Source organism: Homo sapiens, chromosome 3 (genome assembly GCF_000001405.40).
Source record: "Homo sapiens chromosome 3, GRCh38.p14 Primary Assembly".
Taxonomy (NCBI): Eukaryota; Metazoa; Chordata; class Mammalia; order Primates; family Hominidae; genus Homo; species Homo sapiens.
In genome coordinates, this window is record NC_000003.12 from 72,379,230 (window position 1) to 72,393,265 (window position 14,036).

The 14,036-nt window shown below is 39.5% G+C and overlaps 1 protein-coding gene across 1 annotated transcript in view; it reads right to left on the minus strand.

Moving 5' to 3' along the window:
* Positions 1 to 14,036, minus strand: part of RYBP (RING1 and YY1 binding protein) — a gene marked incomplete at its 5' end in the record, with an annotated part of 72,027 nt that overhangs the window by 4,633 nt on the left and 53,358 nt on the right. Inside the window, 1 exon segment of the mRNA NM_012234.7 lies at positions 22 to 198. Coding sequence (NP_036366.3) covers positions 22 to 198 — 177 coding nt within the window.

Genomic DNA, 14,036 nt, shown 5'->3' on the forward strand with positions numbered 1-14,036 from the left:
CTTAGTTAACCAGAAACTTACTTGGTTTTCTTGTTGGTATTTTTCTTGGTAACACTAGGACTAATTTCCTTGTCTTTCTCAGGTTTCTCTTTGTCCTGCTTTTCAACTTTCTCCTTCTTCTCCTTTTTAGGGGGTGGTGGGGTGGCATACTGTTGTGCCACTTGTTGTGCCACCAGCTGAGAATTGATCCGAGGTTTTCTGAAATGTTCAAAAAATATATATCACTATTTGCTTTATAAAGTTTTTAAACATTTTTATCTGGTCTCACATTCCTTGGGTATTTTATTACTGATATCTGCCAACTCAAAACTAAATTATAAGGTTCATGTTATTTCTGCATTATTTTGTATGGATTATTTAGTATGGATACTAAACTTTTCCTTTTTCAAAGGAAATGATACATTCACATGTGATAACACTAACATACACATCCCTGTGCAGTAAAATAGTTTTTGAGCCAATAAAACATGACAGTGTTTCTAAGAGTGCTGAGAACACTACTTCTTTCAAGCCGTCAAGATTATACTGACTGACAGCTTTCAAGTACTCCTGCTGCAGAGGGTTAATCTCATTTTATTAAATGGACACTGGTAATCCCTTGAAAAGAGAATGAAATTAGAAGTGTGACATTCACTCCTCAATCTAATTATTCCAACTTGTTCTGTTCCCCTGCAGCTCTGTGATTGGCACAGACAACACATAGAGAGCAACAAAGGTAACTATGGCTCATACTAGCTCCCAAGGGAGTGAAGACTGAAAGTCACTGTAAAAAAATCATACACAAGTGACACATTCATTGTGCCATAAACCATTATGTCTGTGCCAATCTCCAACTGACACTGGCTCTTAGCACTATTGTTCACAAATTCTAAGAGATGCCAAACACTTTCACAATGCATGACCATTCACAGCCCTAAATGAGAAAGGGAGACAGGAATGCCTATGCTTTATTTCTAAATAATATTAACTCTCCAAGACATTCCCATCTAGATAGACATTTACAATATAATAAACTCTCCAAGTTTAAGATGGAAAACAAATATACGAATGGTTCATTAACAAAGTAAAACAACTGGCTGCCACAATGTAATAGTCCCCTTCAGAACCGATAGCTCCCTCTCCAATTCCCCAGGATGGAGAAAGGGACTGGAGAAAAATAACTGGACAGACCAAGTCTGACTCATCAATGGGAGAGTCAGCGGTGGAGGATTAGAAAACAAAAATCTAAAAACAAAACCCAAAACAAAGCTGCTGCATTCTTACCTAATGCTGCTATTCTTTTTTGTTTTGAGACAGTCTCACTCTGTTGCCCAGGCTGGAATGCAGTGGCACGATCTTGGCTCACTACAACCTCCACCTTCCAGGTTTGAGCGATTCTCCTGATTCAGCCTCCTGAGTAGCTTGGTTGGACTGCAGGCGCCTGCCACCATACCTGGCTATTTTTGTATTTTTAGTAAAGACGGGGTTTCACCATGTTGGCCAGGCTGGTCTCGAACTCCCGATCCACCCGCCTCGGCCTCCCAAAGTGCTTGGGGGTAATATGGTGTGAGCCACTGCACCTGGCCAATGTTGCTATTCTTTACCAGGAAACAAAATGAGAGTCACTAGGTGCATGATATGTTGGCTCCCTAAGCTAAGTGTGGTTACTGGAGCACCTCTTGGGCAGTGGCTATGATACAGCTGACAGGTGACGCAGGAGAGGTAGGGACAGATGCTTATGCCATGACAGTATCAAAGTTAATCTGAGCATTGAACTGGGTATATTCTGAGTGTTTCAGTACTGGTCGTGGCCTCTAGCAATACAAGTTTTGGTCATGGGATGGCATACCACGAAACCTTGTATTACCTGAGCCTGGATCACAAGTGACAAGGGATGGATTCAAACACATGTGAAAGCACCCTGGAGAAGGGGCATGTACTTACTCTAGGCCCCTCTCTTCCAAGAAACACACAGGACCCCCTAGGTGAAAGGTGACTTTCCCTTTTTCACAGATTCTAACAGCAGCAGTAGCCATTCTAACACATTTTACTCCTTTTAAAGAGGAAGTATGATTGTGTTAATACTTAAAAAAAAATGACCGCTACAAAACATTGCACATGCACTCACTGGGGCCACAGATTAGATGTCTAGAGGGATTACCAAACAGTTTAAATTAGTGCTAAAATAAACTACCATACATTAACCAATATTTAGGTGTTAAAATGAAATAATGTAGCCAGAGTTAATAATGTGAATAAACCACTCAAACTTTATGGGAAACTACACCCTGATGAAGAGTTTCAATTAAGCCAGTATGGGTACTTTACGCCAGAGAAATCTGATCCAAGAACAAGAGAGGACAGCTGAACACCAATTTAAGACTATCCTAAACACAGAGAGAATCAAAGGTAAGCCACGTGCTTGGCCCCAGAGAAATCTCAGCCTAATCACCAGGCCCATCCAATCTTGAGACGGAGGAGCCTACCTTACTCCAGGACAACCTATAAAAGTTGTCACTTAACACATTACACTGTAACTGTCAATCAACTGTGTACTACTCCACAGCAAAGACCACATTTAATCATCTTTGTCATCGTGGCATTAAGCAGTGCTAGGTACTCAATAAAATTATCTACTGGATGAATAAATGAACACTGCAGAGAAAGACAAAGTAGGATGCAAATTGAGAAAAGGGCCCAAGCTTTGGAAATCGAGGTCGCTGGTGACTTTTAGGAGAGCAGGCTATGTGGGATGAGGGCGGCAAGAATTAAGAGCCTGAAGGTTGTCAGACGAAGAGCACAGGAGCTCTTCCTTACCTCAGAACTGTGGTGCTGAATTAAGAGATTGCTCTGCTTATTACCCAAGCAAACTGAGAAGAATTTCTGTAGGAAATAGGGTCTTGGATGATGCTGTACAATCAAAAAGGGAGAACGATAGAGGGCATGCAAGACAGAGAGGTTAAATCACTGGTCAAAGGGAGAGAAAGAACACAATCAAACAGAAGTCCTGGGGAAAGAAATGGGGACACTTTCTGCTGAGACATAAGAGAGATGCTAGGTAAAGATAAAGTGACATTTTTACTAGAAAGATGACAATCTGAGGACGTTCTCTCAGTTGGCCTCTCCCTTCACAGGGAGGCAGGCAATATGGCAGAGGTAGTGTAGGGGTCGTGAGCAGAATTTGGAAATGAGAAATCAGAAAAGAGATTAAATGAACCACGGAGATCGAAAGCAGTGCCTGGTTTGGACAGTATAGGAGAAAAGAGAGCAAGTGATGAACAGAGAGAGAAAAGGAAATTTACTCGCATCTCACAAATTACCCTTAATAGCATGAATATAGTATGCCTAAAAGAAGCAGGTCTCCACTACCCAGAGATCATGCTTATCCAAAATGACTTATTCCCTAAAACACGGCCCGTCTGCCAGGACTATTTATTGGCACACTGTAGACAACATGTAAGGTGCCCTCTGGATGGTTCTGCCACTGCTATCATTCAACAGTTCAGCAAATGCACGCTCAGAATTCTTCAGTGCATGCAACACAATCTGGTATCTACAGGATGAAGTCTGTATGTACAAAAGGTAAATTTCAGCCATAAGTCCTCCTAAAATGCAACATATAAGCACAACTGGGTGAATGTCTCACTTGCTCCTAAGAAAATGTTTGACTAGTACGGTGAAGCGTTTCTCCCTCTGTTGGTCAACAAACCAAAACTTCACAAATGAAAAGGCCGCAAGACTATTTGGGATCTGGTTATTACCAAGAAAAATGGGGCATCTGCTAAACTACCTGTGTTGTTTGAAAACTGCTGCTGTGTTCTGAATGTCTTCTATGTGTCCTTAAATGACAACCTAACTCTTAAACCATCACTTGCCCCCCTTCCCCACCCAAACCCCTCAACAACAGGTGAGCATTTATCATCTTAATTAGCATAACTGCTTTTTCAAACTAGTTCTCCCAATAAATGCCACAGTACTCCTAGAGTTGGGGGGCAGGGGATGAGGTAGGGAAATTCACCTTTTGGAAGGCGAAGGAAAAGAAAAATACAAGGGCGACCAGGCTGAGCCCTCCCATATAAAGATACTGCACCATCAGAGCTGTTCTGGCAGCTCTTGAAATCTGTCCCCTCCCCACTTCTGGGCTAATACTCTCTTCGCTGCGTGGCAAGTGGAAGAATGAGAAAGTCCAATTTCCATTGAGAGCTATGCACACTCCCACATTCCACTCCTGGGATGCTGTGCCAGGCTCTCCAGGTTGGTTAAACTTTACAAATGTACCCAACATGGGAGACAGGTAGAACCTTTTCAAAGCTATCACAGGACAGGCACATCAAGAAGTCAGAGTCAGCACAACCTCCCCTCAAGGAGGAACTGTCATCTCCATTTTACAAATTAGGAAGACTGAGGAGCAGAAAGAGTTAAGAAATTCATCCAAGGTTCAGCTCCATCTGAACTCTTCATGGACTCCTCTTATCTTCAGGTATCCTTAAACACTCTACAGGTATGCCTTTGAAGAGTACAGCCTTGCGTGTGTGTCAGGGGTGGCAATGTGAGATGAAAAGGGTGATGAGGGTACTAGGGGTTGAAAAACTCAGGTCCCCAAGTTACAGTTTAGCTGGACTCCTCCCTGAGAACACCACTGCCACCTGTTAGCCTCACCGTGCCTTACTCCGGCAAGAAGGGGACTACTTGGTTGTCCTTAAGAAAAGAAAAGGGGGCAGAGGGAACAGGCAAGAATGTTTTCCTTGCTTTCCACTGCCTTCAGAACATTCTCTGTAAGGAATGAACACCCATATTATGATATTTAACACTGCTGATGAGTGAGAAACAGTGACTTCCCACAAATTCGCATTGCTTAATGAAGTCTTCTAAGTGTCATACAACACACTGTAAATAGCACTCATTTAATGGGCAAAACTTTCAACATGTTGTGGCAAGTCATTTCTTCAATACGAAGCTGACAGTCTGAGTCTCCGAGATCATTCAAGTTTCCCCAACTAACGTTAAATAAGCAGTTAAACACCTTCACAATACAGTGGTAAATATTAGATCAGAGCCCATGGCCTACAACTTTTGGTGTCTAAGTCTCAAATTAAAACCAATCAATCATCACCACCGCCACCACCAATCTCCAAAAAAAAAAAAAAAAAAAGACCAGAGATTCAAGATAGTAAACACAGTTTCCCTCATAAATTTAGCAAACAAGCTTTTTGTATCTTCTTCACGACTATATTTTCTTATGACAAGGGTGTCTTCTTGAAATATTATTTTACAGGTTTATTGTTGCCATTTTAGTAGCATGTAAGTGAAAATGTGCTATGAAACTTCAATAATAGACATCATCAGGAAAATATTTATTTGCATTTAAACAGCTAACATTTTAGAAAAGAGTCCATTCTATAAAAAGTGAAGCAGATCTTTATCTGGGGCATTCTTAGTGTCTGGAAAGGAAAAACTTCAGAGAGTTCAAATGTACACGAGCACAAATGAGAACAGAAAACAAGACACCTTTTCTGGATTGCTTTGGTATGTGTACCGATACCACTTTCAGGGAGCACAGGCAAAACAGTTATTTTTTAAAGAGGCATTTCCCCCGTGTACTACTCTTGTTTTCCTTTTCCTCTTGTGCAACCTGAGATCTTACTGCTCATTTCTCATATACTTCTCTGGATCTCAGCTACCACAACGAGCAACGAGATGACAAAGCCATCTTCTTGTGATTCAGGCAATAAAGAGCAAGAAGAGTCTCTAATAAATTGTATCTTTTCCTTGATTATGTGTCCAGCTTTTCATAAACTATCAATCATGTGTCCATTGTGCTCACTTTTAATTCCACCTGGCATTTCACTTTTCGATTAAAATACCCACAGGTTGTGGAACTAAGGCAATAAACCCATCCATCTCAAACAAAAGGTACTTTACAATTAAGACAGTTCCTTACAACCTACAAAATGTCTTCATCAAATCAGCTTACATCGAGCCCTTGAGTTCTTCATATGCTGCTTTTATGTTCCCCCTAACCCTTCCTTGCCTTGGCAATCTATTAGTCTAAGAATTAGCAACTTCAAAGAATTTAGCAACTCTGGGCAAGTCACTCCACTGAATGTACTCTTTATCAGGACTCTTTATGACAGGTCACATTATGATACTGTAATTAAAAGGAGCCTTCTCACATGACCTGTTTTCCTGTCCCTACATCCAGAAGGTCATATACATGTACACTGTACAGACATACACATGTGCACTGGATTGGCTAGGACAGATTTTACCCCATCCAATAATGACTGAATTTTTATATTACTGATGTCCCAAAATGCATATATCCCAGGTTGGAACCTACCGAAGTATACAACTCGGCTGTTATTCTTTAACACCTGCTGACTAAAACATTCTAAAAACAAAATAGGAATGGTAGTAAAATCCAACTGCAGGAAACTAGGTGGGCCACATGTGTGAAAATGCTTTATAAACTGAACACAACTTTTTTTTTCTTTGCAAAAGTACCTTGTTAAAGACATACTGAGGCTAAATCTTTGTCTGGACTTGTCTACGATAATGTATTCCAAGTTGTAAATAACCAAATTGCAAATATGTTTGTGGAATACAATCCATTTTTAAGTTGGGCAACATATGTATTTACTTCTAAGGAAAGCAGTGTTAAAGTGTGAAAGCACCTGAGTTGTTTTATCCCAACAGCACTGTCCAGTAAACAGTATTGGTCTCTGGCTTTGATGATTAATAAAATTTGTTTTCTGTTCACTTAACCCATACAGTCTGTTCCATTGTATTTTTTATATACCAAGGAACCTATATGACCTCATGACTTGACTGAAGCCAACCATCATTATAATATGGATAATTAAAAACTCAACTGTCACTTTACCAGGATCATACATTGCAGGACATTATTAATTTCCCTCTGCTTCCCAAACAGTATTGTTTTTTTGTAGTTCTTTTTTTTCTTAAATAGTACTTTCCTCTTTCATGTAAACACTTTTCTTCAATTTCTCAAATCCTTCGACCCATCTACAAGGAGCTACTAGGTGACCTGAAGGGGGTCTTAGTCCCATTCTAGGTTACTCTTTCCCACACACATCCTTGACTCAAGAGAATCACTCTGCTCTGTATTAGAGAACTAAAACTTCCCTCAAATTTGATCCTATCAGAATTTCAAAACTCAAGTCATCCCCTTTCTCCCTGATCTTTCCTTCTGTCATCTTCACAGGTAATAGGGAAACGGAGTAGTATAAAGGAAGAGTATAGACTTTGGAGTTAAGACAGCCTTTGGACTTTATCCACACCTGCTACTGAGCTAAGGTAAATTACCTGAAATGAGAATGAGGCCACACCTATTTTCACAGGGCTGAGGTCAGGATGAAATGAGGACAAAATTAGGTACCATTCACTTAGCTCTTGCAACAGGACATGTAGAGAGATATTCCACAAGACAATTCCCTGTACAAGTAATACATACATTCCAAAGCACTACTTTTCCAGCCGTAGATGTGTCTGCCACCCTTCTTCAGATACTGGAAGGCAAATGGAAAGATTTACAAGTGAAAGGAGCTGGTAAGTCTGCGCCCTGGGAAATGGTTCTAGAGACATAAATCCTTCGCATATGTTAGCATCCTAAAGTTAATTATGCTGTCTAACAGCAACAGCAGCACTAAGGAGCCTCACTAACATAGCTGCCAGTTTTTCTGCGTATTTCGGAGAGAATTTTGGTTTTGCAGAAATCCCTTTTAAAAGAGGATGCCTTTAGGGAAGGCCACTGAACTTCAATTGTAAAATATCCACACATGGTGTTACACAAACTCTCACCAGATACTGCTTGGTTAGAAATAACTGGCTCCACACGACTAACAGGTATCTTTACCTTAATAAACAGCAGATTCTGAAATGTTCTCCTTCACCTTAAATTTTCATTTTGGATATTAAAATGTCTCTTATGCCCTGAAAACAGACTTTAACTACCTGAGCACCAATAGGTGAAAGCACCGTAACTTTTCTGCAACTCAGGAACATATATTCAATAAATAAAAAGAACTAAAAGTGGTTCTGATTTTTGGAAACAAAAGACCTATTTTATAAACCAATCTGGCAGCAACAGACAGTTATCTCAGCCCAGTGGGTCTCAAAGTATTGATCCAGAGACTCTTGGGTGTCCCCAAGACCCTTCCAGGAGGATCTACAAGACAAAACTATTTCCACAATAATTTTAAAACATTACTTGCCTTTTCATTTTCCTTTCTTCAAGAGTTTACAATGCAGCTTTCCAAAGCAATGACATCTGACGTCATTGGTCTGAGAGCTTGTATATTTCCATGTTTTAAACATTTCTTAGTTCTAATTTCTGATACGGGAAGTATCTATATATATAACTAAGATGAACAAAAGCTCCTTGGGGTCATTAATACTCTTAGGAAATGTAAGGGATCTTCTGACCAAAACGCTTGCAAACGGCCACCGCAGCACCATGCCCAATACTGGACTGTGCAAGTCTACTGCATCGCGGGCAAAGAAAGAGACAGTCTTGAGAAGGTAACTTCTCAGGCTTAAATTTTTCCTCAAAAAAACAAAACAAAAAAAAGAAGGTGAAAAGGAGCATTGACTCGAATTGCTGGAAACATTTTGAGAATAAAGAAAAATCTTAAACTTATTTAAAACTAGAACAACTCTCTAAAAATGGGCTTCGAGTACTTAAGCCATAGACTATAATGCTGGCTTCCTTCCATTTCCTCTCTCTTGTGGTGCCTATAACAAATTTTATTCGTGGTTATTCAAATATTTTAAGTAAATGTCCCATAATAAATAAGCCCTTCAGCTCTCCCTCAGCCCTTCTCCAAAGAACATGCCCACTGACAAAGAATGTGTTAGTTCAATTTATCACGTAAAGAAAAAGATTTCCTAAATTGTTTTGAAAATGGACTTTTGTTTGAAAATGGTTACATTTCTTTTTGATACCTCCATTCCATATTTTCAACATAAACTTTCTTCTATGGTAAAAGACTTTTTTTGCTTGCTGATTATCTGGTTTAGTAGTGCTGTAGGATCACTGTCCCATTTGAGGCAGTGTGAGCACCACGGCAGCTGCTGGTACTGCAACTACAAGAGAGGTAGAGGCAAACCTCTCCTCACCTGCCTCCTTGGAAGGAGCAAAGCCTACCTGGACACCCAACCCTACTCTCTGCGTCAGAGATGTAACATTTCTTGTGCCATCTCCTCTCCCATCTCAACTCTATCTCTGGCATTTTGGCTTATGCGATCTCCTCTCCATCTCAGTTTCACCTTTAGCATTTTGACTTACGTTTTCAAACTCATGCAACAGACTTCTCCCAGTGCCTACTAAATGTAGAGGCACAGTGCTGTGTATTCTGGATGTGTGTGGATACACGCTCATTTTCCAAGGGGCCGATGGGATAATAACACAAGAGACTCCAACAGCCCAGACCTCTGGCGAGGTCCTTTGTCTTACATGGGGTCTGCCCTGTCACACAAGCTGGGACACAGGCCTTTAGTGGTAGAGATATCTAGACCTCCCCTTTTCACTTTCATATTATCTTGGAACCCTAAGTCTGTGACTTTGGATGAGTTAGATAATCTCTCCAAACTTCAAGTTCTTTGTTGATAAAAGGATTAGAGTAAGTGATCTCTAAGGTTCCTTTAGCTCAGACACTTGTATTGAGTATTTAATAAAGACACTTAAATAAAGTATTTGTTCTTGAGGTGCAGGCAAGTTTGCAGTTTATGTTCTTAGTAACTCATTCAAGTCCGAAATAAACATCATGCTTTTACAAACCTTCTAAAACTACATACTGTTGGTTTAGTGACTTAGACATGACTGCTCCTTCCCCGCCACCCACCAAAAAAGATACACAAATGTACCTTCTAAACCATGTCAATGATTAAGATGAATCCCAGAAACTAAGAATCTCTAAGCAAATGCTATTTTCAGATGCAAATAAATTTGACAAATCAAGTCTTTCTCCAAGAAACATTACACTAAAGCAATCCAATCTGCTCTGCAAATTACTTTAAAGCTGTCAAAGATCCTATTTAAAATGCATTTAACGATTCTGAAATTACAGTTCATGTCACAAACATGGGTACTTCCAAAACACAAAAGAATTAGTAATTCATCAAAGAAAGAAGCTACTAGATAAGCCACAGTCTAACAAATACTAAACTAGCTGCCCTCCTCAGGTGTGAGTTTCCTCACCTATCAAATTAAGATTCCAACTAAACTAAGGTAAACTTTTAAGGTTTCCCTCAAATCTAACCTTTAAAACAAAACAAAAACTTAAGTAATACAAAATAACAGCCCTGACAAATTCATTCATGGTCAAGAGATCTATTATAATTACTGGTTATTAAAACTTTATTGGTTTTAATACTTTAAAATGTTATTACTGGTTATTAAAAATTACATTACTGGTTATTAAAAACTTTCTTGAAGCCCATTATCACTTCAGAAGACTCTCAACACTTCACTAACTGCAGTGTTCACAATCTGAGCATTATTGATTATTTTGGGCCCCTTAGTTCTTTGTTGTGGGGGCCGTGCTATGCATTGGCGAATGTTTAGCAGCCCACTAGACGCCAGCAGTACCACACTCTCTCAAGTTGTGACACCCAAATTTGCTTCTAGACATTGCCAAATGTTCCCTGGAAGGAAAAAATCACTCCCAGGTGAGAATCACTGGGCTAATGTCTAACGTTAACTACAGGAATACAATATAAGGGAGTAGAAATTTTTGCAAATATGGGAGGGCAATCTAAAACAAAGAGAACTTCTCTCATCAGTTTTATCAAAAGATGCCTGCCCAAGACATCTGCAATGTGTTCATTGTTCTGACTGGTAGGCCAGGCTATAAAAGGGTAGGACATAGGGAGAGGAATCCCAAGAACACTGAGTATACTGATACTATGTTATCTCTGTATTGAGATGTGTGATCACTCTTCTCCTGCCAGATGGAAAGACAATTTGATGGTCCCTATACAATTACAACTGTGACAATACCATCTATACCTCAAACATTTCTGGTAATCATGGTCTTTATTTCCAGTAACGGAAGGAAATGGCTTTTGAGTAAGGGAAGAAAAGTTTTAGGGTATCTTTATTTACTTGGTCAAATGGCTGAAAAATCAGATATTAATAAAGGTGAAGACGACTCTAAAATTACTGGTATCTATTACTAGAGACACTAGCACTGAGTCTGATAATTCCTTCAACTCCATAAATATGGTTTTGTTTTTCTGGGGGCTGGGAGGGCACAGATTGGCACAGGTAGATGACAATTCGTACGTCAATTTAAATAGTGATCTCTGAACTTAAAATGTTGGTCATATTTTTTTACATATGGATGAAATATTTATCAGAATAACCAGAAAACATTTGCATAAGAATAGAAACTTGAATAAAGAAGAGAATCTTTGAGGCTGTCAGTAGTCACGTATCACATCCTAACACACTCAAGCATGCACATCTTAGTGCCTAAGAAATTAATCATGCAAGTATCAAAGTCCACTCTAACTAAAGAAAACATTTGTCGGAAAATCTTAATCAATTCTTTCATTCTGTACTCTTTTCATTTTGAAGGACCAGAGTGGTGTTAATAACTACTTCTACATAAAAATTCTGCACAGCTCCCACTCATGAGTACTTTTCTTACCTAAGCAAAATTCTCCAAAGAACTTTCCAAACAAGTGTGGTGAAATGATGTTAAAAAAAAAATGTATCAGAATGTGTATCATCTAATGTCTTCAGCATCAGTTAGTTAAGACGATTACGTTCAGAACACACCGCTGGGAATACTCTAGTATGTGAATTCTCCCCCCACCCTCATTCTTCACATGCCAAGGAAACCTCAGAAAGGACTCTCTAATCTCCTATCCCCACCTTTCATTTTCATTGTCTTCCTCCATGCTAGTTCAGGACCTAAATATCTTCCTATGTCCATAAGATCCTATCTGGTCTTTTCTAGTCCTCCCTCTAGCTATCATACATGATGCTAAAGACCAAAGGGCCTAAAGAGAAAAGGTGAATTCCCTTTCCTCTGCTTAAAACTCTGCCGCAGCCTGCTGCTAACAGAATGAAATCCTAACTCCCTAGCATGATATATAGACTCTTCACAAGTTTCTTCAGACATTTCTCTCAGCTTGCTTTTTCTCCACACTCACTGTCCCAGGTCTCTCATTCATAGGAACTCAAGCCACACTAAACTTTATCTTATCTTTTTCAGAAGATACCTTTTACTACTTGTTTTATTTGCTTATCTATTCCTTAGCTTCTGCAATGCCCTTTTTCTCCATACTTCTTCTGTAAAACCCATACCTGCTTTAAGACCCAGCTCAAATGCCGCTTCTTTCCCAACTTCTCCTGGCAAATAAGTTTGTGGTCAGGTTTTCAGTGTTCCCAAACCACCCTGACATACGTCCACCACTTAAAGTTCTACATTATAATTTACCACCCTGCTTGTCTATGTCTCCCTACTAGATGATTAACATCTCTGAGACAGTACCGATCTTTTCAATGTTATGTATACTCCCCAAACTTGCATCAAAATAATAATTTCCTGCCAGTAGGTCAGCTAATGCTGGCTACAAGAGTGTATGTCCTCTGTACAATGCAGTGCAGACAGCAGATGCTACATCAGCATGTTGCATAACATTGTATTATAATGATGTACTTAACTGTCTCTCTCTGGGCCTCAGAACTGAGCTCTTTAGGGATATTATATATATGAGAGAGAGATCTCAATGTATATGATACATGAGAGAGAGAGAGACCTCAATGAATATAAAGATCTACCCAGAGATAGAACTGCTCCCCGTTAAAAGAGGGAAAGAAGTAAGAAAATTAACAGGTAATGAATGTTTCCTATGAGGAAGCACTGTGCTGAGCATTCTACATACATTACTTCTCACTATCCTCATGACTTCTTGAAGTTATTAAATAAACCAAACACCCAACAGTAAAAACGAGACTAGCACAAGCAGAGTTTAACCCAAGTTTCTGCTCTTTCCACTAAACAGTGAGAAAGAAAGGAGATGAACAGAAGCCAGTAAAAGAGGGGAAAACGAAGAGAATGAGATACCATTTTAAAAGGGAGAGAAGCTTTTCAAGGAAAGAATGGTCAATAATATTAAAAATAATCTTAAAAGCTATAGCAAATAAGGCCTGAGGACAAGCCTCTGAACCTGGCAATCAGGAAGGTATCCTTCCAAAGCGTTTCTTTTCCAATTCCTTCACCAGATTACATACATGCCCCTTAACCCTCCACCTTTCCTCCTACCTCAAATAGTCCAACTATCAAAACATGTCCCACCTATACTGGTATGAAAAAAGCTACTTTTGCAATCTGCTCCACAATGCCTATGATTTTAAAAAATCTTAGAACAAGGAACTAGAACAAACTTCACAAGAAGTTGAATCTAGTCCTTCAGGAATGCTCTTTGTCTTTTTCTCTTTCTCTATCAAAACAGAAAAGGTCTATAGCTAGTAAAAACTGAGTCCCCAGAGCATGGCATAATATGCCTGCTTATTTAACCTCAGAGAAACTACATTATCACAAGCCCAAGTATTGTGGCATCAAGTGAGATTCTCACACTACTAGCAAGATCTCCAATTACAGACTTACCTAAAATCGTAGCTTTAAAAAACAGGTATTTTGAAAATTGGGATTGTATACTGCATACATGAAAGTACCTGCATGAGTGTAATCATTCTGACACAACAGCTTTTCAATTTAGTATTCCACTCCAAATTATCTGCCTTTGGCATCAGTGTAATCCAATTTTTATCCCTTGTAAAAAGTTTCCAACAAGGTGAGGATTCTGTATGTTCCATAAATGACTCTGAAATGTCTTTATTTGAGGGGGGTGGGAGGGAAGCCAGGTGTGATGGCTCACACCTGTAATACTAGCACTTTGAGAGGCTGAGGCGGACCAATTACTTGACCCCCAAGTTCAAGATCAGCCTGGGCAACATGGGAAGACCCCAACTCTACCAAAATGCAAAAAAATTAGCTGGGTGTGGTGGCACGCACCTGCAGTTC